Source organism: Homo sapiens, chromosome 1, assembly GCF_000001405.40.
Source record: "Homo sapiens chromosome 1, GRCh38.p14 Primary Assembly".
In the NCBI taxonomy this organism is placed as follows: domain Eukaryota; kingdom Metazoa; phylum Chordata; class Mammalia; order Primates; family Hominidae; genus Homo; species Homo sapiens.
Window position 1 is genome coordinate 179,019,653 of NC_000001.11, and position 27,800 is coordinate 179,047,452.

Here is a 27,800-nt window from a genome sequence, read left to right on the forward strand (position 1 = left end):
GGTTTCTCCATGTTGGTCAGGCTGGTCTCAAACTCCCGACCTCAGGTGATTTGCCCACCTCAGCCTCCCAAAGTGCCGAGATTACAGGTGTGGGCCACTGCGCCTGGCCGAGACCCTTTCTTGTGCATTGCCATGGTGAAAATACCAGCCTGGTATTACCATTTCTTTCAAAGCGTTGCTAACATCTCTGAAAATCCTAGCACACTCCCTTCAGTGGTCCCCTGTACTCCCTTGCCTGAGGGATCTCCCTGCCTACATGCCATGCCTCCTTATTTCACCCATGGGCCCCAGAGGGGTACAGCAGCCATCAGTGAGGTACTGGTTCTTTCTCCCTGGGCTTATAGTCCCACTGTGTTGAGTACCTTGTCTTCCTCTGTTCGGGTCACCTCCCTGTGCCACAAACATCTACCTTCCAGGAAAGGATCACAAACTGTAGGACTGAAGACTAGATTTCAACCCATAGATGTCTATGATTTGGCCTGCTCTGTGTATGTGTGTGTATACACACACACACACACACACACACACACACACACACACACACTTAAATGTAAATGCCTTTGAAGGAGGGACCAGGCTCTCTGGTATGTCATGTTCCCTCAACCCTTCTGGTTGCCTCACCTTTGGCCTGCTTTGCTCATTTCCCTTCATGCCTGACAGCCACAGGCTTCTGTATGTCTAAGCCCCACTGGAAGGAAAGATGTAGGGGGTCTGGTCCACCAAGGGGCAGCATCTGGACCAACAGGGCACTGGCTTTCTTCCTTGTCACATCTTTCTCATCCTTGCTCACAGCAGGATGAGCGCTTGGAGAGATGGCTGGCTTCCTACAGAAGGTTACCAAAAGACCAAGCTATCTTCCCTTGAAAATAAAACCCAATTGCCTGTATATTAGATTGAACTATATAAAATTGTCCATGTTCAACTTTGCCCTATAAAGATGACAATTTCACATGATTCAACCTATTAACATGGCCCTGGCTTAGTCGCTAGTAGGACAATGGTTCTCAGCCTTGGTTGCAAATTAGAATAAACTGGAGGTTTTAAAAAATACCCTTGCTAGGACCTCACCACAAGACTATTAAATTCAAATTTTTGCAGATGGGGGCAGGCATAGAGCTATTTAAAAAGCTCCTCTGGGCTGGGCACAATGGCTCAAGCCTGTAATCCCAGCACTTTGGGAGGCCAAGGCAGGAGGATCGCTTGAAGTCAGGAGTTTGAGGACAGCCTGGCCACTGTGGCAAAACCCCATCTCTACTAAAAATACAAAAATCAGCCAGGCATGGTGGCGCACGCCTGTAGTCACAGCTACTCGGGAGGCTGAGGCAGGAGAATCGCTTGAACTCAGGAGGCAGAGTTTGCAGTGAGCTGAGATTGCACCTCTGCACTCCAGCCTGGGCGACAGAGGGAGACTTTGTCTCAAAAAGAAAAAAAAGCTCCCCTACAGCCAGACTGATAATTGTCCTCTAGCACATCCCTCGGCCAGCCATGAGAAAGGCTCAAAGAGCCTTCTGCTGAACTCCTTACCACATTATCCATCGATGGTAGAAGCTTCCTGGCTTTCCAAGCAGGGTCTCAAAGAGAAGTCTGAGGAACCCAGAACTTCCATGTGACTGCAATTACTTCATGCATTGAATTGAGTCAATAAAAAACAGCTTCCATCACAACAAAAAAAAAATGTGTGTTAAATACCAATATGCCTGTGGTACCATCCTAGGCATATTACAAAAGTATTACCTTGTGGGAATTAGCAATCTGGAATTTGCAATTCTCTCTCCACCCAATCCCTTGAAAAGCCATATGTGGCATTAGAGAAATTCATAACAAACTGGAAAATGTCAAAGATGTGGCCCTGGACATTTACTGAAGCGTATATGCCACAACAAAGTGTACACTTTGGGGTAGTTAAACAAATTTCTATAGCCATACATGACAGTTAAGTGATACACAGCTTTGAGAGCCATAACTCCTCTGCATTTCTTACTAACTCTAGAAATCTAACATATCCATTAATGTATTTTTCTTTTTGCTTTTACTGTGCAGATTTAAAGAACAAAATAAATAGGTAAATATATTTTCAGAATAAAAAAGAAAACATCCCGTATTACTTTTGGGGGTGATGAAAATGTTCTAAAATTAGATTATGTTAGTGGTTGCTCAACTCTGTAAATATACTAAAAGGCACTGAGTATATTTTAAGCAAGTGAGTTTTGTGGTATGTATATCTCAATAAAGCTTTTCTTAAAAATAATATTGCTAGAGTGAAAAAATAACCGAAATATTCCCACCACTTTCAGAATCCACAGCCCGAATGTCTCAGCAGAGAAGCTGGGTGTGCTGTGTATGTATGTAGCTTATGATGCTGTCCCTGGGACGTGAGTTGTTTGCTCAGATGGCATTGACAGGGGTGCCACGTGATGGGGTAAGTGGGCAGTCCGTTGCTATAAGCAAGAGGCGGGCTGGGAGTAGCTCTGCAGATCTGGTGGCAAAATGAAAGAAAGGAGTTTTCCCTGTTAGGAAAGAAATGCAGAAGCAGCTGTCCACAGACAGCCCAATGCAGAGAACAAACCTGCCTGGGAAGCAGCTGAGGCAGGGCACATGCTCCTGGAAGGAAACAGAGAGATATGTGTGCTCCTTTACTCGCTAGCCTTTCCCGTCACCCTCTCCCCAGGCTCCTGGCACCTTGGAACAGCGTGAGCTTTCCTAGGGCTCCTCTCGACTTGCTTGATGTAGAATTAATTTAATTAGTTTCAGAGGGATCCATCATGGTGGCTGTGTTGCCTAGGTTAAAAGAAACTCTGTGTGTGTGTGTGCGCGCGCGCGTGTATGCATATATATTTTGCCTTCGTGTATGCAAAAGCACCTTGAGACAATATCCTCCTTCTAACTTGGGATTGCTGGACTGTTATTGGAGTCCTAGGGCTTGACAAATTGGCAGAGACTTGGAAATTCTGAAACAGTTTAAGGAAAATGCTTACAATGATGAAGGAACCAAGAAATAAGTCTCTGGGGCTCAATTCCCTGCTCTGTAGTACATGTTCTCAAACCTTCCTTTCAAGCATTGCATGGCTACCATGGGCCATGTGCAGTGTTAGTGCTACAGAAGACGCAGATGTCAATACAACCCGGGGAACGGGGTCAGACAGATCCCCAAAGACTTCAATACACCCCACCGCAAGACAGTTACAAATAAAGTGCTGGGTCTCAGAAGCCAAGGAAAGCATGTGCAGTTGTTGGGAAGGCTATGAAAGGCTTCATGAACAAGCAGCACTGAGAGCTGTATAACATTTTTACAGGTGGGAGTGAGGTGGATTTCCTGGAGGAAGAATCAATGTGATCACAACCATGAGGGCAGGGAAAGGACAGCAAGTGAGCCCCTTAGGTTGGAGGATAAGGAATTAGCAGAAAATGGTCCTGAAAAGGTGACTATGGCAGTAAATGCCAAGCACAGGTGTCCCTATTGAATTCCGCAGGCCACGGACAAGCCTCTGGTGGGTTCCACACTGGGGCTAATTCCAAGATTGGGGTTCCACATTGGGGCTAATATCCATCCTTCTGCTAAGGATGCCTACCACCCTTGGCTGGAGGGGGACAGCCAAATTCCTGCTCTGGTTTTAACTCAGTGAGCTTCAACACATCAATGTGGAGAAGGTACTTCGTATGAGGCACTCTACAAGTGGGAATAAAGATGAAATAGTGTATGTCTTTAAAAATCCTTGCAGTTTGGGAACAAGGAAGAAGGGCAAAGAGGAGATTAGACAACGACATGTAGAACCATACATCGTATGAGTGGTAAAAGGAGCATCACAAGAGTCTTGACAAAGTGCTCAGACCTCCTTAATTGGGGTTCCTGCCAGCTTCTCAAGAATGGGAACCAGGCTTTCTTCATCTCTGCATGGTCTGGTAGCTCAGTGCCTGGCACTTGGTAGACATTCATTAAATGAATGAATGTATGCATCAGTGAATGAATGAATAAACAAACAAATGAACAATTCTCCTGTCACGCAGGATCTGCTGAAGATGGCGGCTGTAAGTTCACAGAGCACTGCCTAACTTTGGTTCATATTGTTCCTCTCTTCTCCTACCTGTATTTTGCTCACCTCAATACCAGCCCACACTGTTTTCCTGGACTGTGATTCTTTCAGTGATCACAGAGTCTGTGCTGCATAATTTAAGTGTCCCTATTCCTTGCAGCTGCTTCCTGTGTGCTAGTCATGTAAACGCCCTTCTTAAATGATTGCATCCCTCACAATACTTAGAATATATTGACTGTTGATTGGTTGGAAAATAATCCCGTACAGGCGGAGGGGGCAGAAACTGACATCATGGAGTGTCAGGCACGGTGCTGGTGCTATGCATACACTCAACAAGGGCCTGGGTAATGCAACATGGAGAAGGGAAAACTGGGGGGCAGAACAATTTTGTCGTCTGAAAGCCTTTCACAGAGAGGCCCTGAACCCATAGCTCTCCTTCTCTGAGGACAGAAAAGGAGGAAGTGTGTCTGTCCTGCAGTATGTGGGATGGATAGATGGATGCGAAATTAAGCACTGAAGTGGGTTGCTTGGAGAGGCAATGACTGCCCCCTGCCCTCACCTGAAAATCCTTAAAGACAGAAGGGATCATCCGCCCAGGAAGCTGAGGCTGCAGGATAAGCTGGCCTTTTCCTGAACAGTGACAGTTGGAGCGTTCACCCTCACTGTCCTTGTCAGAGTTACAGGCAAGAAAGGAGAATCCTTTTGGATAAAGTGTCTTAAAGGAACTGTTGATTTACCCTTTTGCTTTATGGTCTCCTGATGTAGTGAGCAAGGTTCAGGGAGATTAGCTAACTGCAGGCAGACTGATCTTCCTGTGCAGAGAAATAAGGTAGATTCTCATTATCTTCCAGCTCATTTTCCCAAGAATTATGTATTCTCCGGCCAGAAAACGACCTCCAAACCTCCAAACCTTTTCAACTACACGCAGCAAAAAGCTAATACAATGCCTTCTGCATTTGACTGTACGTCTCCTGCAGTGATTAATGCTGCCTCCCTAACTACATTGTCCGGAGCAAGTGTCAAGCCCAATTATTTCTCTAGGATCTCCTGATAGTAAATGCTCAGCAAATATACAGACGAATAACACCTAATCATACACAATAATCTTAGAGTACTTTCCCCATACATTTCCTAACTTAATCCTTACAACAACCCTGTGAAGTTATTAACTCCCATTTTCCAGTTAAGGAAACTGATGCTCAGCAAAGTTAACTGGCACATCCAGTATCATACAGCCAGTAAGAAAGAATTCTGTTCAGTACGCCTTACTGATTAAATGAACTATGTGGCCTGAAGAAAAAGTGTCAGCTCAGTCTTTCCCCATCACGCATCTTATTCCATGGAGTAACCTGCATTATATTTCAGGGTCAGGCACACTAAGTTTGCGCTTTAGTATATGGTGAATAAATGGATGGACACAGTGGCGGCTCTGTATAAGTCAGCTGAAAGCAAACAAAGGGAAGGCAGAATCTTTCATTCACACGATTTATCCGCGCCCACTGGGTGCACTACGGTCGGGCATTGGCGACCCAGGAGCGACTGACCTGCCCTCATGGGGCTTACGGTCCTTAGCAAAAAACAGATGTAAAACAACTAATATTACAGTAAATGAATCATAATTTTGTGAGATGCTCCTGAAAGTATGTAGCAGGACGCTCCGCTCTGGTCCGAATGAAGAGCCATTTGCACTCAGTGTGGAAAGGCTAGCCTTTTTCTGGGCAAAAGAAGCGGGGGATACATTTAGATAGGCAGAAGTTCCGAGCAGAAGTCAAGGCAAATTAAAAAGGCAACAGGAGGAGGGAAAATGCTTCTCACAAACAGAACTCGACCTAGGGGACCGCAACTCTCCAGTCCTGCTGCTTGGCTGCCTACCTACCTAAGAAAAGCAGGAAAGAAAAAGAGAAGACGGGGTGGGGGATGGAGGACAAATACAGAAAAAGAAAAAAGAGCGAAGGAAGTGAGAAGTGAGAGGCCAGTTTATGTAAGCGGGCAGGGCGGCGCGGCCGGCAGGAGACCGGCGCCGGCGCCGAGGGAGTTAAGCGGACGGGCCCGGTATGGAAGAGGTTAAGGGGGGCAGTCCGGAGCGGGTCCGGTAGGGGCCGCCTACTGGGCGGGGGCGGGGCCGCGCCGAGCGAGCGCTGGGATTGGCCGTCGGGCAGGCGCTACGCTAGGACGGTACCAACAGCCGGGGGCCTCGGAGGCGGGGGGGTGGGTGTGGGACTGCCGCTCTGCGCGGCGAGAGGTGGCCTGGGAATGGCCGGGCCGGGGGTGGGCCGGAGCCGCTGTGGCGGCGGCGGCGGCTGGGGGCGGTGAGCGCGGCGTGGGGCTGCCCCTCCCCGGAGGCGGCGGGGGCGGCCGGGGCCGCGCCGCACCGCACCGCGCGGGCGGCCATGGAGCGAGCCTAGGGCCCGACAGGTGAGTGGCGCGGGGGCGGGGGAGGGCGCGCGACCCCCGCCCCCGGCGCGGCGGGCGGGAAAATGCGGACCGGCACGCGGGCGGGGCACGGTACGTAGCGCGCGCCGGGCTGGGGCCGCCTGGGGGCGGGGCGCCTCCCTGAGGGGCCGGGCACCGGGTGCCCTGAGCCGTCCCCGAGTGGCTGCGGGCGGGTCCCGGGCGAGGGCCCGAGGCTTCCTGGGAGACCCGCTCGGGCCGCGTGTCCCTGTGTGCGGTCGCGGCTGAAGGGACGCGGCCTCGGCCGCCACGTCCCTGGCCCACCTGAGGCGCGGGCCCACCTGGGGCCGCCTCAGGCTGCCAGAGGTCCTTCTAGTGACCGTCTCTCGTCCCCTTGCGCGGTCCCCAGAGGCGATTGGCCCCGGTGCCTCTCTTGTGTTCCCCGGAGCGCCCGTTGAGGCAGCCCAGGGAGCGCGCCCTCGCGGGGTCTTTGCTGGGCCCGCCTCGTGGCCGGGAAGCGCGAGTGACCTGCAGGCCGGAGGCGGAAGGCGGGGCAACCGTGCCCGGGGCCCGCGGTCTCCTGGGGTCCTGCGCCGGGCGCTCGCAGAAGGGCACAACTTAACGAATGCTGTGTTAGCCCTCAGTGGGCTGCGCTTGAGATTTCATTTCCGGGTGTGACGGCCCCGCGATTAAGAGCGGACCGATACGTTTCCCTTAATGATGAATGTGAATAGTTGTCGAGCTGCGTCCTTGATTGTGGGTTCTGATAAGAGATTCATTCTAATCTGACTTCTGTTAACCTGCCAGTCTCCGGATAAGAAGAGAAGGGGTAGAAGGATGGATTGGAGGGAAAGTAGGGGTAACAGGGCTTGGTTAGTCTTAATGGAATTATTAGTCCTTTTAAAGACCATACCATCATTGGGATGGATAAGGAGTTTCTAATTTGGGAAAATGAGAGTTGCTTGCTATTGCGACTTGGGTCTAGTGCCAGATATCAGCATCTTCCCCACCCAGCCAGCTTCCCTCTGGAGGTTTGATTTCTCACTTGGAAGGGAAGTAGGAATGTGGGGTTTTTTTTAGCCTTTAGCCTTTAAACTGTAGGACTTTATAAATCTATAATCTGGTACAAATTACTATTGCCATTTATTAGCCACGCCTATGTTTTTTGCGTTGTAAATTCTTGCAAAAATTTCACTGGCGTTGATTTCTAAAAATCTGGTTAGAGATCTCAGTGTTCTTATGTATTACAAACATTCCTTGAGTTTATGCAGGATCTTTGAGCTAAGCTTAGAGCACTTCCTCAAATATGATTCGTTATCACGACTGTCTGAGAAACTGAGGTACAAATGGTAAAGATGCTAAATTATTTGCCCAGACTCATAGCCAATCTCAGGGAGATTTAAAATCAATGTATTCTATTAATAACTTTTCTAAAGTTTGCAAAGATGTTGGACTTTGGCCTCTCGAACCGTACAATGGAATCAGTCAGCAGGAGTCCCTTTCCCATTTGAAATTACTTATCAAAGGAGAATACAAAGGCACACACAAGTATAATTCAGACTCTCAGCCTCACTCATGATAAAGTGCAGTGATAAATATGGATACAGGTAAAAGATGATCAAGACATCTTGGAGTTCACAGCGTTTCTTTTCTGTGTGGTGAAAATGTGACATTGGTATGCTCTATTCGTTTCTCTAGAACTGGTAGGACAGTAGCTATGTTTTGGTGAATGAATGGAAACTAGAAAACACATACACTGCTTTTCTTTTTGGTTCTTAAGATTAGAGAAAAAACACATCACTGCTTCTATCATCTTTATTTTTATAATCTTTTATATCATGGAAGTATTTTATGTTAAATTGATAATTCCTTGACTTTTAGTTCATTCCCTTGATTTCCATTTGTAGATTCCAGCCCTTTCACACAGCCTTAAAGTTTCTGCTTCTTATCTCTTCTGAATTTTAAATTCCTAAATGAAACTTTCTGTTCCTTCAGTTTTAGGGCAGACTTCAGCTTCCCACACTTTGTGTGTCTATCATTTCATTGGTGTAAAACCCTAAAATCATTTCATTAGTGTAAAACCCTAAAGCCAGATACTTCAGCTGTTGAATTGATAACTTTTTAAAATAGCTAACCACAGAGGTTGTCTTTTGGTGATTGCCACAATCTCATAACAGAAGCAGGAGGGCGTTCTTTGTATTCTGTAAGAATACATAAAAAGACAGTTGGTCGGGCGCGGTGGCTTATGCCTGTAATCCCAGCACTTTGGGAGGCCGAGGCAGGCGGATCACGAGGTCAAGAGATTGAGACCATCCTGGCCAACATGGTGAAACCCCGTCTCTACTAAAAATACAAAAATTAGCTGTGCATGGTGGTGCACGCCTGTAGTCCCAGCTACTCAGGAGGCTGAGGCAGGAGAATCGCTTGAACCCAGGAGGCAGAGGTTGCAGTGAGCTGAGATTGCACCACTGCACTCCAGACTGCTGACAGTGAGACTCCGTCTCAAAAAACAAACAAACAAACAACAACAACAACAGAAGGAGACTGTCTTCTGAATCTGACTCTTAGTCCTTCTGGGACTAAGTGCCAGGTGGTTTTGTGGATTGGGATGGGGAACACAGTTACAATGAGGCCCTACAGTTTGTTGTAATTGTTACAGTAATCTGTGTATCTGTGTATTTTTCTCTCTGCACCTGACAGTGCCTGTATGTAGAAGGTGCACAATAAATATTCGTCAGTTGAATGAATAAATGGAAAACAGTATGAGGGAAGGGGAAATATTCTAATGTATATACTAAATTATTTAGTTCCTCTTTTTGTCAAAAGAAAAAAAAAGCGTAGAAAATGTGTTTCGGATTACTGTTCAAAATATTCTGTAGAGGTGTGTTATTTGCTTCTGTGATTATATGGTGTTCTAAACCACCTGGAGCCTGGCAGTAGCCTGTGCAGGTTCCAGTCAAGTGCAGCTTCACAACCTTGCTCCTACAGTCTGTTCTGGCTAGGCTAATTGGGCAGTTGGATTGATAGCCAGTGTTTTTGCATTAATAGAAGAACTTAGAGCTCTTGGCAATGGCCATGTCAATAGCATTGACCTGACTGCCCTTGTCCCTTATTTTGACGGTGGAAGAGGGGAGTTATCCCTTTTTAAGAGTACTTCTCCAGCAGTTCCTTCTTCTACACCTACATATATCTTCCTGTTTTCCTTCAGCTGTCTCTGTAACCCCAAGTACTAATGAATTCTTTAACATAGGCCTGGGCTGCAGAACAGAAGCTTACTTTGCTATTGAAACCAGCTTCTGACTAACTTACAATGTCAGCATGACTGCTCGAGCTGCCTAGAAGAGAAAATAATGCAAAGATCTCACTTCTGATTTGGTCTTTCTTACCAAAAACAAAAGAAGAAATGCCTAGCTTGGGATGTAAAGAATCTACATGACAGATGGGTGCGTCTGTCATCCCAGTGTGAGATAAGAGAAAAATGTAAGCTGATGCAGAAGAGACCTTGAGCTTTGGTGTGTGTTTAAGGTCTGTACTTTCTGGCAAGATAACCCCTTTAGAGAAGAGGGTGCTAACTTGGGCACGTTATAAAGGCAGGTCAAGGAATATGAAATTATGAATGTGTAAAGAGGACAGAACCAAGTACAGAGGGAGGCAGTGAAGTCTATCATTCCATGCTCTCAAATGTTAACTTTCTGCTTTATATACATAGCAATGCCTCATTTACCTAATGTTGGGGAGTAAGGTATTATATGTGAAAATTTTATTTTAGCTATACCTTTTGTGGAAAAATTTTTACAATATATGCTTTGGTTATTATTACTAGCATACTGGCAGTAGTTGAGTGAGGCTATGAGATGATCGAAAAATGTAGTTTGTTGTCCACTGTGCTTTTTGAATTATTGAATCTACTTGAGTCGATTCAGTAGTCAGTCTTTGTCTTCTTTCAGTGGTGGAAAGCTGCTCTTTTGCTGCTGTTAGTATCCTTGCTGCCCTCTTTTAAATTTGCAGCTTCTTATCTGTGGAGTAGGAGCTTCCTGACATTGAATGTAAAACAGCTAAATTGGCTTAGTTATGTTCTACCTGCTCTTCTCCAAGTTTTAGGGTATGAACTTTGTAACCACTTATTTTTGTTGCCCAGGGACGTTTTTGTTTGTTTGTTTCTTATCGTTGGTGTAGATAGTGAACGTGTGCTCTGTATAGGTGCATTTATGTTCCTGTAGTTTTCTGTAAAAAAAAAAACAAAATAATATGGAAGTACTTACTCGTGTGGGTTCTTGTTTCAGAAAGCACTGCCAATAATACTTGAAGATCTGATTTCAGCCCTGTCTTGTATCATCCTTGGGCAGTGTGTTAGACAACCTCCTTTCTTCCTTTTAGCATTTCCAAATTGTCTTTACTCTTAATCCCAGCCGATACTAGGAACCAGGTTGGCAATAGCAGTGGCCTTGAAAGGTGGAAGCAGGATATACAGAAGGTGGCAACTTTAAATTGAGTGTATATAATTGGTATACATATTCGCTATTTCTGCATCTTTTATATACTGTATACTTGAATTCATTGTAGGACTTATTTCCCCCTGTCTCTGAAAGAGGCAGTCTTTAAACCAGAGAGTTGCCAGTTTAGAAGAAATTCTTATAACCCTAAAGGTCTTTCTCCTTTGCCCTTCTCTCCTTTTATTCCACAAACACTTATCAGATGCCTCTTACAGGCCCTGCACAGTGCTAAGTTACTTGGAAGTACAAAGCGTGAGTAAAATCTATCCCATCCTCAAAAAACACAATATATTAGAAGAGACAGATGTGCCAAAAAAAAAAAAAAATGTGTGTGTGTGTGTTTGTGTGTGTGTGAGTTCATAGTATAACAGAGGGATCATGCCTGGAGCCACCTAGCCATAATTTCAGCACAGATCTGTTTGAGGTTCTCCTGCTTCTGAGAGTGATCTCCTGTGTGGGCTGTCAGCTTGACGTACCATAGAACATAAGGCTAAAAATGCGAGGTCTATTGTTGTATAAAGTTTATGTGGTTTTCCAAGAACTGTAGTGAATTGAACACTAAAGATGGAAAGCATATGAAAAGCTGAAGGAAAATGTTATAATATTTGTAATGCCGTATTTCAACACTATACAGGAATTACCTTCTATAATCTAGCCTTAAATGGTGGTTCTGTACTGACAGTTGTGCTGTGAAATACCTGGAACTTGGGAAGTGTCATTATACCTGGCTTATTTAAAGGAAAATGCAAATTGTTACTCATTTCCACGTAGTGTCAAGATTACTGCGTGTGTTGGTTTTTTAGAACAGAACTCGCTAGCAGTATGAGCTAAAGTTTTTTTCTTTTTCATTTTTCAAGGAAGAGGGTTGCCCTAAATCAAGGTTTAAATGGGACAGGTTGCAGAGATTGATTTTTTTTCAGTTCACTTATTGAAATTATTCAGTTATTGCCTATTTCATTTTTACTTTCACATCCAGCAAGAAAGACTACCTTAATGCTTCATTAATGCCTGGTAATGGTTTTAGTTGCCTTCCTTCAGAGGGAACTTGTTAGAGAATTTCATATAAGTGATTCTGAGTTTACAGATGTAAATAAATGTTTAAATGGAAGTGAAAACAGTAAGGAAAACCTGACACTTGGACCAATTTGGATTATGTAAGAATTAGATTTTCTACACCTGTACTCTTAAGTTACTCTTAAGGCTTATCTTAAGGGCTTTAGCACATGAAAAGCTGTCATCTTTAAAACACAGAACTAATTTTCCAAACTGAAAACAGTTGTGAAAGGCATTCTATTTTAGCCTTTTTTTGTGAAGTGGGATAAGTTCATGCTTCCCATCTGTTTCAGTTACATTGAGTGTGGTAGAATTGAACTTTGTAGAGAAGGGAAACAGGTTGGCCAAATTAGTGACAGCCTCCCAGTCTTCTGCTTTGCATGACACTCACTCTGAAGATATCTATTTGCCTAGTCTTATCTACCTCTCAAATTTAGGCAAGAATTTGGCTCAGAAATACAAGACTACTAATTACTACTAAACTCTTAGTAATGCAATGTGTGGATTTGGCCCCTCACTATGTAACTGAGAAGACAACATTATGGTATATTGATTCCAATGAGGGTTTTCTTTGTCATTTTTCTCCTCTCTGGAGGTCATCTGGGTTTTTGATATGGTGATAATGACTAGCAAGTGATTACTGTGGGTCATCCAGGCACTAATCTTAGCACAACACATGTAGAGGTCTCATTCTTTTTTTTTTTTTTTTTTTTTTTTTTGAGACAGGATCTTGCTCTGTCACCCAGGCTGGAATGCAGTGGCATGATCTTGATTCACTGCAGCCTCAGCCTCCCGAGTAGCTGGCTCATTCATTTTTAACAACCCTGTGAGTTAGGTAATAGTATTCTTGTTTCATTTTTTTATATGCAGAAACTGAGACCCAGAGAGGTCAGAAGTTAAATATCTTTCCCAAGACCCACATTAGGTGGTAAAGGAAGCATCCAGGCCTAGGCATTCTGAATCCAGAGGACATGCTTTTAACCCCTCTGCTACAGAAAGCTTATATTTAAAATAAGAAGGTGAATTAAGAAGCTATTTCTTAAGTGGATAATTAGCACAGAAAAGAAGAAAAAATATCTATAGATACTGATTAATGCTATTACTTAGTATTAGTTTTTATTTTTAGTTGAAGACCCTCATGTGAAGATGAAAGGAAGAATAGCATGCTGTTGTGGCAGGCAGCAAAGCAGGAGTGGGCTGGTTTTCCCAGGGTACTCAGCATTTACTGAGATAATAAACATGTAATGCTGTTTAATATTGGAGGTTTTGACTTTCTGGACATCTTGACTGTCACACAATACTAAAAGACTTCTGAATGCTCTTAATTTTACTTATCACTGCCACTAACCATCAGTAGAGACATTTATTTCTAGGGAACGGGGTGTAAACTCATAACAGTTAATAATAATATGCACAGTGCCCTACTGTCACTGCTAGTGAAAAATCAAAAGGGCAGTATACCAGACAGCCCACGGTAAAAGCGTGTGTGTGTCTAACTTTTTTTGCACTAAAAGATGTGATTTTTGCTATTTATGTTTTGGCTGAAGTACAAAAGTTAGGCTTTATAAACCGGACATGTGTCAGTGTGTGAATGTGTGAGGTTAGCCTTGATTGCTCTGCATAAGTCTAAGTAGGGCTCTGAAGTATGCAAGTGGATTTTAGTAAATGATCCAGTTGAGAATCTATTTCTTCTTGTGGTACCTTTAAGAGACTTTGTTAATTATGTATCTTTCTAAATATATACAATGAAAACAGAAAAATATAAATGACATGTAACTTTTATAATGAGTGTATTGCTCCTAGAAGCCATTAATAATAATTTACAAATATGACCTAACAATTTATCAAACCAATTTTTATTTGCACTTAATGGTTAATTTAGTGATTACTCCCTCCCTGAGATAATTGTTTTTAGTCACGTAATTTATTTCCCTATGTCTTCTCCCCTGGTATTTTTACTATCCCCAAAAGGAGTTGATAGGAGCAGAACAGATGTGAGAATGTTGGGTTTTACAAACTACCTCAAAATAATAGTGGGTTAAGACAATGATTTGTTATTTCTTTCTTTCTTTTTCTTTTTCTTTTTTTCTTTTGAGACAGTCTTGCTCTGTCACCAGGCTGGAGTGTAGTGGCGTGATGTCGGCTCACTGCAACCTCCGCCTCCTGGGTTCAAGCGATTCTCCTGCCTCAGCCTCTCAAGTAGCTGGGACTACAGGCATGTGCCACCATGCCCAGCTAATTTTTTGTATTTTAGTAGAGATGGGGTTTCACCATGTTGGCCAGGCTGGTCTCAAACTCCCTACCTTGGGTGATCCGCCCATCTCACCTCCCAAAGTGCTGGGATTACAGGTGTGAGCCACTGCGCCCAGCCTGTTATTTCTTATAATTATATAGGTCATCTGGTCTCACGTGTTCCTGCTCAAATGGTATAGGCTGGGGTCACAACAGTGACTACATTCTGCCAGACCACAACTGGGACTGGAATGTCCTTGAAAGTGTCATCTTCATGTCTGGCACTTCACCTGGGGTGACCAGGATAGCCAAGGGTTGGCTGGACCTCTCTCCATATAGATCACTTGGCATTTGGTAGTCTTAGCTTGAGCTTCTTTACATGGTAGCTAGATCCCGTGAAAGTGGAAGCTGCCAGGTCTCTTAAGACCAGGGCCCAGAACTGGCACACAGTCATTTCCACAACATTCTATTGTCAAAACAAGTTACAAAGCCAGCCCAGATTCAAGGGGAGGAAAAACAGACTCCACCTCTTTCTCTCTCTCTCTCTCTCTTTTTTTTTAATAATGGAGACAGGGTCTCACTGTGTTACCCAGGCTGGTCTCGAATTCCTGGGCTCAGGCAGTCCTTCTGCCTCAGCCTCCCAAAGTGTTAGGATTACAGGTGTAAACCAGCATGTTTGGCCCTGACTCCACCTCTTGATAGGATAAATTGTTAGTGTCTGTCTTTGCAGACAGTCTACAAAAAATTCAAATTCAAGTCTTACCTCCTATACTCACCAAACCTTCAGAGTTTTAGTCAAACCAATAATTACCAAAGTATTTTGTTAAAGGATCCTTGTAGTTCCTACTCAGGATCAAGGGCAAAGAGATTGTGTGCATAAATATAATTCTATACCAGTTAAGAAATCCTACCCCTTTGCCTCAGATCTCTTTTGTTGTTAGTCCTCTGCATGAAGCATTCTTACTAAGCATTTCCTTTGTGGTGCTTTGCATTTACAAGGCATGTTACATTCTACTTAAGTCATAAGAACCTGATTTGACCATTAAATTAGAAACACAAGAAGTGAAACTTATGTTTACTTTTACCATAACTTTCACTTTTAGTTGCTATGAGCAGAGGTTGGTATTTATTTCTTCTCTATGACCTCAGAGGTAGTATTGTGAGCTTGTCACTTAATCAGAGGGTGATTCAAGGGGACACTTCTAATAAGGCTTGGAATCTCATTGGTGGCTTGTAGGACCCTCTAGTAAGGTAGTAAGCGTTAAGGCCAGGTGTTCTCATGTTCCTTGGCAGCCACATACATTGAGATTTATCACATGATCTGTAGACCCCCACACCAACATGCTTTTCTGTAAATGTTCCTCCACCATCAGCCAGATTTTTTTTTAAGTACAATTTCCATTGTATTTTTCTCCAGAGAATGGTCTGTCTTCAGTCTTTAAGGACTCAGCTCCTTACACGGGCTTTGGTGGGGGTCGTGGGGCAGCACCCACAGGTCTAAATCGGGGTAGGGGTGTTCGGTCCTCGTGGGCTTCATGAGATTGATTCCTGACTACTTTGCTGTGAATTGCACAATTCACACAGTAATGTAGCTTCACAAACAGCTTGGGAAGCACATAGGCATTGAAGACGCTGCTTCAGAAATGTCCCTGACTGCTGTGGCCTCCACTATATTTCGAATGATGAATTTCTTAATGGCCTTGTCCTTAGGCACGCATCAGGCACAGTTCATGCAGCGAATGGCTGCACGTAACTGTGGCCCTTTTTGACATGACTTTTGTTCCTTCTTTTCTTTGTCATCTTGGAGGCATGGACCGGAGAGGAGATTCTTGAAAGAAGACTTTACATTAAGACCTCACTTTTTTTCTGTGGAATCTATATCTCTTCTCCCAAAACAACTTCATAGTCTTACGTTTGCCCTTATACAATATTTATCAAATGAGTAGGATGAGTGTGTTTGTGTGTGTGTGTGTGTAGAATGAAAGTGAATTAGCCGGCTGGGCGTGGTGGCTCACACCTGTAATCACAGCACATTGGGGGGCTGAGGTGGGCAGATCACTTGAGGTCAGGAGTTCGAGACCAGCCTGCCCAACGTGGAGAAACCCCGTCTCTACTAAAAATACAAAAATTAGCCGGGTGTGATGGCAGACACCTGTAATCCCTGCTACTTGGGAGGCTGAGGCAGGACAATCGCTTGAATCCAGGAGTTGGAGGTTGCAGTGAGCCGAGATAGCACCACTGCACTCCAGCCTGGGTGACAGAGCGAGACTCTGTCTCAAAATAAAAAAAGAAAGTAAGTAAATTAGCCTCCGTAGCAAGCCCCATATAGCTGATGGAGCTCAGGTTGAAACCAGGGTTCAGTGGGAAAATTCCTTGTAAAGGTCTACTTTCCAGAACTCCAGGCTGGGAGTTTATGCCAGCTTTTCATGTGAAAACTATTTACAGATATGCCATTTGTACTGCCTTTTTTATATTTAACACTTTTAAAGTTATGTTATTACCTTGAGTTTGTTTGTTCTTTGAGGTAGTTTCTGTTCTGCATAACAGAAACATTAAAATAAATGACCGTAATATAACTGGACATTGTTGCACTGTTTGAAGCATGTATCGGAGGAGCTGAGGGTGTGAAATAGAGCAGGCACATTCTTCTGAGAATGTTAGTGAGGTTTTTCGTGAATAGTTTGAATATACCCAGTGAATTTGCGTTTATTTCCTTAGTGTCTGAAATGGGGAATCTTTGGAAAAGTCCAGTTTGCACAATATAGTATACTCCTTGTCCCAAATAAAAAAGGAAGATTATATGGCATGGAAACCCTGTCTCTGGTACTTTCTCCTCTCTCACATATAAAGGAGTGAAGGGGATCATTCTAAGGAGCCAAGATTCTGAAAGGAGAATTAAGAACCATATGCAATAAGGTATTATACAAGGCCGAATGTAGTTAAGTACTGGCCGAAAGGAGGGAGAAGTTACTTTAAGAGTGTAAGGAGGGACGAAAAATTGCCTTAGAGATGGCCTTGGAGATGAGCCTTGAAAGGAGGCTCAGACTTTATCAGGAGGAGATTGGAAGAAATGTTAAGAGAAAGAGGAATTTTGAGGGACTACAGTGTAAGGAATGACAGAAGCAAAGAGCACCTACACATCAAGAGGAGGACCATAGCATGTTCAGTTGATCCATTGTGGCTAAAGCTGAGAAGAGGAACAATGGGAGTGATGTCTAACTTGGAAGCTATTTAGGATACAGCTTTAATGCCTTGCCAAGGAATCTAGAATCAAAGGTGGTTGAGTGATTTGAAAAATGATTTTGGCTGCATTATCTAGGCTGGATTGGAGAACCTGGAGGCTCAGGCATCAGTTCTTTCTGTGGTCCAAAAGAAGGTGATGAGCACTGAAGTTGGTGGCTGTGGAAATGAAAGACGGCTGTAAAGAACAATGACAAATTGCACTCTTACTCATTCCACCAGGATGTGGTGACTGTAATCACAAACATGAAAACTTGTTTAGTCTCTTTTTTTTTAACCTGCCCTCACTTAGAATCTGCAGAAGGAAATAGTGAAATAATAGAACCCTTCAGTTCCCTTAATATGAATTTATTTCTTGTTTGCTTGCTTGCTTTCTGTATGTCGGTCTTTTTTTTTTTTTTTTTTTTTGTGAGACGGAGCCTCACTCTGTCGCTCAGGCTGGAGTGCAATGGCACGATCTCAGCTCACTGCAACCTCTCCCTCCCAGGTTCAAGCTATTGTCTCCTGCCTCAGCCTCCTGAGTAGCTGGGATTACAGGTGCCCACCACCACGCCCAGCTAATTTTTGTATTTTTCATAGAGATGGGGTTTCGCCGTGTTGTCCAGGCTGGTCTTGAACTCCTGACCTCAGGTGATCTGCCTGCCTCGGCCTCCCAAAGTGTTGGGATTACAGGCGTGAGGCACTGTCCCCAGCCAGTTCCCTTAATGTAAATTTCTAACCTAGCTGAGTGAGTGAATTGTTTATGGCCCTGAATTGATGAATGTGTTCGTCTGAGGCCGCTTCAAAAGGAGAAGTTTTGAAATAAGTTTCAAAACTTAAAAGGACACAAACTTGGATTGTGGGATTGGACCGTTTTTCTTATCTGAATTTTGGAACTGTTAGAACTTCTTATTGCATTGATGATAAAAACAAAACAAAAAACCACAGCTCTAACCTTTGTGCAAAATGTTTGGATGTGATATATTTATATAGCACGAGGGGGAGGATTTTCTTCATTCTAAATGAATGAGCAATACGATTAAAAGTTTATGGGTTGGTCGGGACAGTGGCTCATGCCTGTAATCCCAGCACTTTGGGAGGCTGAGTCTGGCAGATCACCTGAGGTCAGGAGTTCAAGACCAGCCTGACCAACATGGAGAAACCCTGTCTCTACTAAAAATGCAAAAGCCTTAGCTGGGCGTGGTGGCGCATGCCTGTAATCCCAGCTACTTGGGAGGCTGAGGCAGGAGAATCGCTTGAACCCAGGAAGCAGAGGTTGTGGTGAGCCGAGATTGCTCCATGGCATTCCAGCCTGGGCAACACAAGCGAAACTGCATCTCAAAAAAAAAAAAAAAGAAAAAAGTTTATGGGTTAACCAGACTTTAGTCCTGAAGGATGTTCTGTAGAAAGTAAAAGCCTATGAAGCTGACCCCTTTGTGCCAGAATTGTATTGCATTTGTAGCTAGTGGCATCTGGAGATGCTGAAGAAGTGATTGTCAATACAACTAGATTTCCATATTGCCTTTTATCTCTGCAGCCTGAGAAGTGTACTGTTGAACAAGCACTTGAAAATGTTGTGTGGTTTAGGTTGCATTAGAACTAGCAAAAATCTCTGAAATCTTCTCTGCTAGCACTGCTGTTATCAGTAATCACAGGGAACTGTTTTACTGAGTTCCACACCAAACTTGATACCATCACAATTACATTTTAGATGCACTTGAATTGCCTTTGTTTCAGCTAATAGTGTTGTGTACCCTGGGAGATGATGATGAAACAAAACAGGTGGCAGGGAATAATTAGAATTTGAAATTAACTCTCACTTTCTGCTTCCTTCATGAACAGAAAAGGAGTGGTTAATCACTGAGAATAAACTTCATTCAGCTGGCCCACTGCAAAGTGTTGCCCTCAGAATACATTGCTCTGATAAGCTGCTTTTGATTGTTTCCAGTTGTTATTAAGGGAGCAGTATCACGTTTAAGTGGGAGTGTCTTAGCCTGAATCATTTGCTCTATTTTTTTGTATTGGTTTTATTTTTTGGATTAATGGTTTGAGTTGTTAAATGAATTGGAGAGTGAAGCAACATCCTGTTATCTTCTTGTCATCTTTGTCTTACCTCAGTGCTGTGCTGTCTGCAGGCATAGAGCAGAGCAAGCCTGTGCATGTTTTTAAATGGCCTTATGGAGTAGAAAGCAACCTCTCAGGATGCAAGTGAGACGGAATTGTATGTTCTTGACACCCTTGCAAAAATCTTGTATTTGGAGCCTTTTAACTTAAGAATTGCCCAGAGTGTGGTCAGCCCCATGCTAGAAGGAGCAGTTCTTTATGTCTGTGACATGAATATCCTTGTTATATGCTTGACCATTCCAGACGTAGTAGTGCTGCCATAGTACCAGGCTTTATTAGTTTTCTGGTTATATTCTGCTAATAGCTAGATGGTATGGGCATATTTTTTTCCCTTTACTTAATGTACCCAGTTTTGATTATCCATGGTTTGCAGGTATTTTAATTTTGAAAAATAATTGGCGAAGGACTAAGTAGAAATATGTGTCTGGGGTTGTATTTAAATACATGAGCAGCAGATATGACACGTCCAGGATCGCTGAATACTTGGACTCAGAGACAGCTATTACTCTCCTCTGCACCCTGTGGCATTTTATTTATTTATTTATTATTTTTTTTTATTGATCATTCTTGGGTGTTTCTTGCAGAGGGGGATTTGGCAGGGTCATAGGACAATAGTGGAGGGAAGGTCAGCAGATAAACAAGTGAACAAAGGTCTCTGGTTTTCCTAGGCAGAGGACCCTGCGGCCTTCCGCAGTGTTTGTGTCCCTGGGTACTTGAGATTAGGGAGTGGTGATGACTCTTAACGAGCATGCTGCCTTCAAACATCTGTTTAACAAAGCACATCTTGCACCGCCCTTAATCCATTTAACCCTGAGTGGACACAGCACATGTTTCAGAGAGCACAGGGATGGGGGCAAGGTCACAGATCAACAGGATCCCAAGGCAGAAGAACTTTTCTTAGCACAGAACAAAATGAAAAGTCTCCCATGTCCACCTCCTTCTACACAGACACGGCAACCATCCGACTCCTCAATCCTTTCCCCACCCTTCCCCCCTTTCTACTCCACAAAACCGCCACTGTCATCATGGCCCGTTCCCAGTGAGCCGTTGGGCACACCTCCCAGACGGGGTGGTGGCCGGGCAGAGGGGCTCCTCTCTTCCCAGCAGGGGCAGCCGGGCAGAGGCGCCCCTCACCTCCTGGACGGGGTGGCCGGCCGGGCGGGGGGCCAACCCCCCCACTTCCCTCCCGGACTGGGCGGCTGGCCGGGCAGAGGGGCTCCTCACTTCCCAGTAGGGGCGGCCGGGCAGAGGCGCCCCTCACCTCCCGGACGAGGCGGCTAGCCGGGCGGGGGGCTGACCCCCCCACCTCCCTCCCGGACGGGGCGGCTGGCCGGGCGGGGGGCTGACCCCCCTACCTCCCTCCAGGACGGGGCAGCTGGCCGGGCAGAGGGGCTCCTCACTTCCCAGTAGGGGCGGCCGGGCAGAGGCGCCCCTCACCTCCCGGACGGGGCGGCTGGCCGGGCGCTGATCCCCCCACCTCCCTCCCGGACGGGGCGGCTGGCCTGGCGGGGGCTGACCCCCCACCTCCCTCCCGGACGGGGCGGCTGGCCTGGCGGGGGCTGACCCCCACCTCCCTCCCGGACGGGTTGGCTGCTGGGCGGAGACGCTCCTCACTTCCCAGACAGGGTGGCTGCTGGGCGGAGGGGCTCCTCACTTCTCAGACAGGGCGGTTGCCAGGCAGAGGCTCTCCTCACTTCTCAGACGGGGCGGCCGGGCAGAGACGCTCCTCACCTCCCAGACGGGGTCACGGCCGGGCAGAGGCGCTCCTCACATCCCAGACGGGGCCGGCGGGCAGAGGCGCTCCCCACATCTCAGACGATGGGCAGCCGGGCAGAGACGCTCCTCACTTCCTAGATGGGATGGCGGCCGGGAAGAGGCGCCTCCTCACTTCCTTGATGGGATGGCGGCCGGGAAGAGGCGCTCCTCACTTCCTAGATGGGATGGCGGCCGGGCAGAGACGCTCCTCACTTTCCAGACTGGGCAGCCAGGCAGAGGGGCTCCTCACATCCCAGACGATGGGCAACCAGGCAGAGACGCTCCTCACTTCCCAGACGGGGTGGCGGCCGAGCAGAGGCTGCAATCTCGGCCTTTTGGGAGGCCAAGGCAGGCGGCTGGGAGGTGGAGGTTGTAGCGAGCCGAGATCACGCCACTGCACTCCAGCCTGGGCACCATTGAGCACTGAGTGAACGAGACTCCGTCTGCAATCCCGGCACGTCTGGAGGCCGAGGCTGGCGGATCACTCGCGGTTAGGAGCTGGAGACCAGCCCGGCCAACACGGCAAAACCCCGTCTCCACCAAAAAAATACGAAAACCAGTCAGGTGTGGCAGGCTGAGGCAGGAGAATCAGGCAGGGAGGTTGCAGTGAGCCGAGATGGCAGCAGTACAGTCCAGCTTCGGCTCGGCATCAGAGGGAGACCGTGGAAAGAGAGGGAGAGGGAGACCGTGGGGAGACGGGAGACGGGAGATGGGAGACAGGGAGGGAGAGGGAGAGGGAGACGGGAGACGGGGAGGGAGACAGGAGACGGGAGACGGGCCGGGAGAGGGAGACGGGCAGGGAAAGGGGAGAGGGGAGAGGGAAAGGACCCTCTGGCATTTTTAGGAATTGTTGTCTTACCAGAATGAGAACCAAATACTGGTGGTTTGGGATATGCAAAAGTCCTTTATGGATTTTGAAAGTTAAAAAAATGAAAGTTAAACAATTATGTATAGCTTGCTCTTTTGTTTTTGTTGTGTTTTTCCTCATTGTTTTGGTTATTAGGCATGTGTAGCCAACCTCATGGCTCCTAGATGGCTTGCATTCCAATTAAAATAGAAATATTTGCTTTAAAATTTTCAGTGTATGTGGTTCTTGCTTATTAGTGTCACAGGATCCTTGGGGTGTCACTTTGCCAGTGAGAAACCTCTGTGGCCGTGGTGCCTTCTGCCTGAGTAGTGCTTGTGCCCACTGGGCTCGTTCTACCCACTCAGCCTTGCAGGCCGTGCTCAGCTCGTACTACTGGCCTGGATCTTATACCTGCCAAGGGCAAGCCAGGTGCAGAGCAGCAAGGGGTGTGTGGACAAGCTAGCATGGGGTCTGGCCACTGTACACAGCCACGCACGCTGGGGCTGCTGTGGTGGGGTAGGCAGCTCCAAGCATAAGCACAGCTGCCGGTTCTGTGTGAGTCTGCAGCTGGACCAGAGTATCACATGCAGCTTCTGCTGCGGGTGCCCATGTCTGGACAAGGGGAACATGGTGGCATCCAGAAACTTGGAGACACCAGGAACCTCAGAACCCCAAAGAGGATGTCACAGCCCTGGCTCGGGGAGACCCTAGGTCTGAGCTCCACAAAGGGCCCCAGCTCTTCTCTCTTTCTGATTGCCTACCACATGGTGAGCAGGGGGTGTGTTTCAGCCCTGTTTGCATTACAGCTCTTTCAGTCCTGCCATTTGGTGGGTTCTGAGTTCTTGTCCCATGCCCCACGCTGACAACTGGGGGTGAGCAAAGTGGAGAGGAGCTTCACTGAGCAATAGAACAGCTCTCTGGAGACCCAAAGTGGATAGCTCTTTCTGCAGCCATGTTGTTCTGATGAGAGTCTAGCTTTCAGTGGAGAGGAGACCCACAGTGGGTAGATCCCTTGTGCACGCAGGTTGTCCGGATATCTGTTTGAGTCTGGCTGAGTGCAGGGTTTTTATGAGCTCAGAAGAGAGGAAGTGTGTGCTGATTGGCCCATGGGTGGCCATGGGTGGGCCCAGAAAAAGCACCATAAGTTCTCACTGTGGTTTGCGGACTCTTAACCAGAACCGACAGCCCAGCCCCCATGCTTCAGGCCATCCCTGGCTTGAAGGTGGGGCTTCACTGGGGACCCATCCCTTTCCGCCCAGGAGCCTGCCTCCTGCCACCATTCATGTCATCCACAGTGCCCAAGCTGTTTGTACCAAGGGATGCCTGCAGGCCTACACTGAGCCATCCTCAGTCCTCCCTTGGCCTCCCTCCCATGCTCATTGGTGCCCAAAGTCCGGAGTGGGCTGAGACAGCAGGGGCCTGGTGTATCAGCACTGCCCCAACCACATATATACAGGTCACGACATCACCTGGGCTTTGCCACAATTTTGCTCCACCCCAGAGTGGGTGCGGGGAGTGGGGAGAGGCCAGGCAGCAGGAGTGGCATTTTGGAGCCTGTGGGTGTAGCTGTGGCTGGGTGGCTGCAGCTGTACCCAGGAACACGGGGCCCCTGCTCCACCATCTTGGAAGAGGGCAGGGCTCCCACCTGTTCCCAGCTCCTTCCAGCTCCGTGGAGTGTGCAGCCCTGGCCATGCCTCTCCCACTGCAGCTGGTGTCTTCGCAGCAGCTGCTCCAGTTGGGCCACTGCTGCCATCATTAGGTCCTTCTCCAGATTAGTTAATTTTAAATTATTGAACCTTCTTGAGCTCAAGAATAGAAAGCCTAAAAGGGTGAGTCATATATTAGAGGCTTACAAAAGATTCAGGGGTGGAAGGACAGAATTTTTGATCAAATTTTGCTTTGTACTTGGGCTTGCAGGAACTGTGGAAGGTGCATCAGTGAAGAAATGGACCAATGTGTATAATCATGGAATCTCCTTGCTAACCATCACCACCAGCTCTCCTTAATACATGAGCAAGAGTGGGTCAGGGGAGAAGGAAAAGAGGTCAACATGAAGCTAAAGCAGCGAGTCGTGCTGTTAGCAATTCTCCTTGTCATTTTTATCTTCACCAAAGTTTTCCTGATTGACAACTTAGATACATCAGCTGCCAACCGGGAGGACCAGAGGGCCTTTCACCGAATGATGACTGGCTTGCGGGTGGAGCTGGCACCCAAGCTGGACCATACCTTGCAGTCTCCCTGGGAGATTGCAGCCCAGTGGGTGGTTCCCCGGGAAGTGTACCCTGAAGAGACACCAGAGCTGGGGGCAGTCATGCATGCCATGGCCACCAAGAAAATCATTAAAGCTGATGTGGGTTATAAAGGGACACAGCTGAAAGCCTTACTGATACTTGAAGGAGGCCAGAAAGTTGTTTTCAAACCTAAGCGGTAAGTTTTGATCTTGGAAGCTGCATGTGCTAGTTGGTTGATTCATTTAACTTGGGATTTATATAAGATTTATTTTGTCATCTTCTCTTGGAAGTCTCTTCAGTAAAATAAGAGGGGTAGACTAGATCTCTAAAGTCTTTTCTAGCACTTAACATGAATCTACCTTTATAGTATCATATAGAATAGTCTTCCTGCCCTAAAAATCCTCTGTGTTCTACCTACTCATTTTTCCCTCTCTGCCCCAGAACACCTGGTAACCCACTGGTCTTTTTACTATCTCCGTAGTTTTGCCTTTTCCTGAATGTAATATAGTTGCAATCACAGAATGTAAGCCCTTTCAGATTGGCTTCTTTCACTTAGTAAAGTGCATTTAAGGTTTATACATATCTTTTTGTGGCATGATAGTTCATTTGTTTTTATCACTGAATAATATTCCATTGTCTAGATGTACCACAGCTTAATTATCCATTCACTTACTGAAGGACATCTTGGTTGCTTCCAAGTTTGGGGCAATTGTGAATAAAGCTGCTATAAACATCCATGTGCAGGTTTTTGTGTGGACATAAATTTTCAACTCATTTGGATAGATACCAGAAGCATAATTGCTGGACCACATGGTAAGAGTACGTTTCATTTTGTAAAAAACTGCTAAACTATCTTCCAAAGTAGCTGTACCATTTTGTGTTTCTACCAGCAATGCATGAGAATTCCTGTTGCTCCACATCCTCACCAGGGTTTGGCATCAGTGTTTCAGATCATAGCTGTTCTAATAGATCTCTTATTTCTTTCACCTGTTTTAAGTAAAGAATTGGGCCATTTTAGTTACCTTAGTTAACTAAATATGTATGTTGTTCATGATCCCTTTGGACTTCCTAGGGATCTACAGAGATAATTTGTGTGACAATTCTGTGATACAGTTAATTATTTTTATTTATTTATTTATTTCTCTACACAAGACAGCTTGGAGGGTATAGTTAATTTTCTAAAAATGTTTTCTGAGTGTATGAATCTGAATTAGGTTAACATCATGATGGTGATTTGTATTCTTTTGCCGGGAGTTAGTTACCAATGAATATTCTCAAAGTTTGTAATGTCTGAAATCTTTTGGGTACTAAACATTTTTTTCATTCCTCAGTAGAGCTTTTGAAAAAATTATAACATGACTTTAGATTTCTTTCTGGAGTGGGAGAAGAAATGTAGGGAAAAGATGGACAAAATTCAACTCCCTTTCTTACCCAACTATTAGTAAATGAAAGGCAGTCAGAGCATGAATGTATAGGGAGCCCAGAAATGGAAGGGATCACTGTTGGTCTGGAACTGGGAAATATATGTCAGTGATGTGGAAATTAGGAAAGTTAAAACATTTGGTAGACTTTCAGAGAATAAAAATTTGACTGGGGCTGGGCGTGATGGCTCATGCCTGTAATCCCAGCACTTGGGGAGGCCGAGGTGGGTGGATCACTTGAGCCTGGGTGATGTAGTGAGACTCTGTCTCTATAAAAAAATAAAAAATTAGCTGGGCGTGGTGGTGTGCACCTATAGTCTCAGCTACTTGGAAGGCTGAGGTGGGAGGATGGGAAGATTGCTTGAGTGCGAGAGTTTGAGGCCGCAGCAAGCCATGCTCGTGCCACTGCCCTCCAGCCTGGGTGACAGAGTGAGACCTGTCTCAAAAAAAAAAACCAAAAAACAAAAAAAAACCGTGGTTATGTGGGCCTGGGATCTAATTTCTGTAATGCACACTATTTGCCAGGGATTACACTAAGTACTTTTGTATCTCTTAATCCTTTAAACCCTTATACGAAGGTTTAACCTTTTTGGACAATTTCAGTTCTTATTTCCTGAATAAGAAACTGAGGTTCAGAGAGTGTAACTAACTTGACAAGGTCACCTCACATCAATCAGTGGTACAGAAGTTTGAACCCATATTTGTTAGAGTTGTAAACAGCTTGTATTCTGCCACACACATGGAATTCTCTAAGTTTGTTTGCTTCCCATAAGTGATGACGTGGAGCACTCATCATCAAAAATCGCATTTAGCTTTGAAGTTTGGTCTTTGACTTCTTGGCCTGAGAGATAAGCAGCATAAACAGAGTAATGGAAAAAGGCAAACTAAAGACAAAAATAAAATTTGTATATAAAGAGATGGCCGGGCACGGTGGCTCACGCCTGTAATCCCAGCACTTTGGGAGGCCAAGGTGGGCGGATCACTTGACGTCAGGAGTTTGAGACCAGCCTGGCCAACATGGCGAAACCCCATCTCTACTAAAAATACAAAAAATTAGCCGGGCGTTTTGGTATGTGCCTGTAATCCTAGCTACTCAGGAGTCTGAGGCAGGAGAATCACTTGAACCTGGGAGGCGAAGGTTGCGGTGAGCTGAGATTGCACCATTGCACTGCAGCCTGGGCAACAAGAGCAAAACTCCATCTCAAAAACGTAAAATAAAATAAATAAAGAGATGAGTTGTGAGCATTTTGTGTTTAAATAAGAGGAGATCTGGCTGGGTGCGGTGGCTCATGCCTGTAATCCTAGCACTTTGGGAGGCCGAGGCGGGCGGATCACCTGAGGTCAGGAGTTCGAGACCAGCCTGGCTAACATGCTGAAACCCCGTTTCTACTAAAAATACAAAAAATTAGCTAGGCACGTGCCTGTAATCCCAGCTACTCGGAAGGCTGAGGCAGGAGAATCGCTTGAACCCGGAGGCGGAGGTTGTAGTGAGCCGAGATCACGCCATTGCACTCCAGCCTGGGCAACAGGAGCGAAACTCCGTCTCAAAAAAAAAGAGATCCTCATCACACCTACCACTTGTACACTGGAGAATTGAAGGGGAGTTGGGACAGCAGGAAGTGTGTTAGAAGACAGATATTCCCAAGAGCGTGCAGTGTTAGACCAGGTGCTTTGCAGGATAGGCCTGAAATGTTCAGACAAGATATAAGTGGTGGGAGGAGAGGCCAGACTGATGAGTAGGGGAGGTAGTAACAGATAATGCATAACCTTAGTCACTTCTTGCTTCATCTTATATCTCTTACTACCACTGCAGCCTTCTCATTACCTCCCTCCTCCAGACCATCCTGGAAACCACTTCCGTTCTTCCCCGTTCTTCCCCAGAAGACTTATTATCACTATGTTCCCCAGCTTTAAAACATCCAGGGACTTCCCATTGCCCACCAGACAAAACCCAGCCTCCACAGCCTAAGGTCAAGCCCCTGACTGTCTGGTCCTCCTCTCTA

At 45.8% G+C, this 27,800-nt stretch overlaps 1 protein-coding gene and 1 pseudogene across 7 annotated transcripts in view, besides 6 other annotated features; one reads left to right on the top strand and one right to left on the bottom strand.

The window, feature by feature from the left end:
* The window catches only part of FAM20B (FAM20B glycosaminoglycan xylosylkinase), a 59,234-nt gene that overhangs the window by 2,319 nt on the left and 29,115 nt on the right, over positions 1–27,800 (top strand). Inside the window, exons 1-3 of one of the 7 annotated variants that reach the window (XM_047436094.1) lie at positions 6,152–6,206; positions 24,063–24,572; positions 25,121–25,189. In XM_047436094.1, coding sequence (XP_047292050.1) covers positions 24,196–24,572; positions 25,121–25,189 — 446 coding nt within the window. In that variant the 5' untranslated portion in view covers positions 6,152–6,206; positions 24,063–24,195. Of the gene's footprint in view, positions 1–6,151; positions 6,207–6,241; positions 6,447–6,471; positions 6,537–24,062; positions 24,573–25,120; positions 25,190–27,800 lie in introns of those variants that run through there. The other 6 variants (XM_017003001.3, XM_017003002.2, XM_047436093.1 and 3 more) reach the window with 6 other exon arrangements.
* Positions 6,059–6,248: a silencer, noted in NCBI's record as "silent region_1583". NCBI's record gives its function as "represses an Ori minimal core promoter by ATAC-STARR-seq in GM12878 lymphoblastoid cells {active_cell/tissue: GM12878}" and the evidence as "EXISTENCE:reporter gene assay evidence [ECO:0000049][PMID:35858748]".
* Positions 6,289–7,028: a silencer, noted in NCBI's record as "silent region_1584". NCBI's record gives its function as "represses an Ori minimal core promoter by ATAC-STARR-seq in GM12878 lymphoblastoid cells {active_cell/tissue: GM12878}" and the evidence as "EXISTENCE:reporter gene assay evidence [ECO:0000049][PMID:35858748]".
* Positions 9,078–9,953: an enhancer, noted in NCBI's record as "H3K27ac-H3K4me1 hESC enhancer chr1:178997865-178998740 (GRCh37/hg19 assembly coordinates)". NCBI's record gives its function as "activates a minimal SCP1, AML or CMV promoter by ChIP-STARR-seq in naive H9 embryonic stem cells {active_cell/tissue: H9 hESC(naive)}" and the evidence as "EXISTENCE:reporter gene assay evidence [ECO:0000049][PMID:30033119]".
* Positions 9,078–10,016: a biological region, named in NCBI's record as "Sharpr-MPRA regulatory region 12139".
* Positions 9,722–10,016: a silencer, noted in NCBI's record as "tiled region #12139; K562 Repressive DNase matched - State 5:Enh". NCBI's record gives its function as "represses a minimal TATA promoter and a strong SV40 promoter by Sharpr-MPRA in K562 cells {active_cell/tissue: K562}" and the evidence as "EXISTENCE:reporter gene assay evidence [ECO:0000049][PMID:27701403]".
* RPS26P16 (ribosomal protein S26 pseudogene 16) lies at positions 15,586–16,026 on the bottom strand (annotated as a pseudogene).
* Positions 27,302–27,596: a silencer, noted in NCBI's record as "tiled region #11809; HepG2 Repressive non-DNase unmatched - State 6:EnhF, and K562 Repressive DNase matched - State 1:Tss". NCBI's record gives its function as "represses a minimal TATA promoter and a strong SV40 promoter by Sharpr-MPRA in HepG2 and K562 cells {active_cell/tissue: HepG2 | K562}" and the evidence as "EXISTENCE:reporter gene assay evidence [ECO:0000049][PMID:27701403]".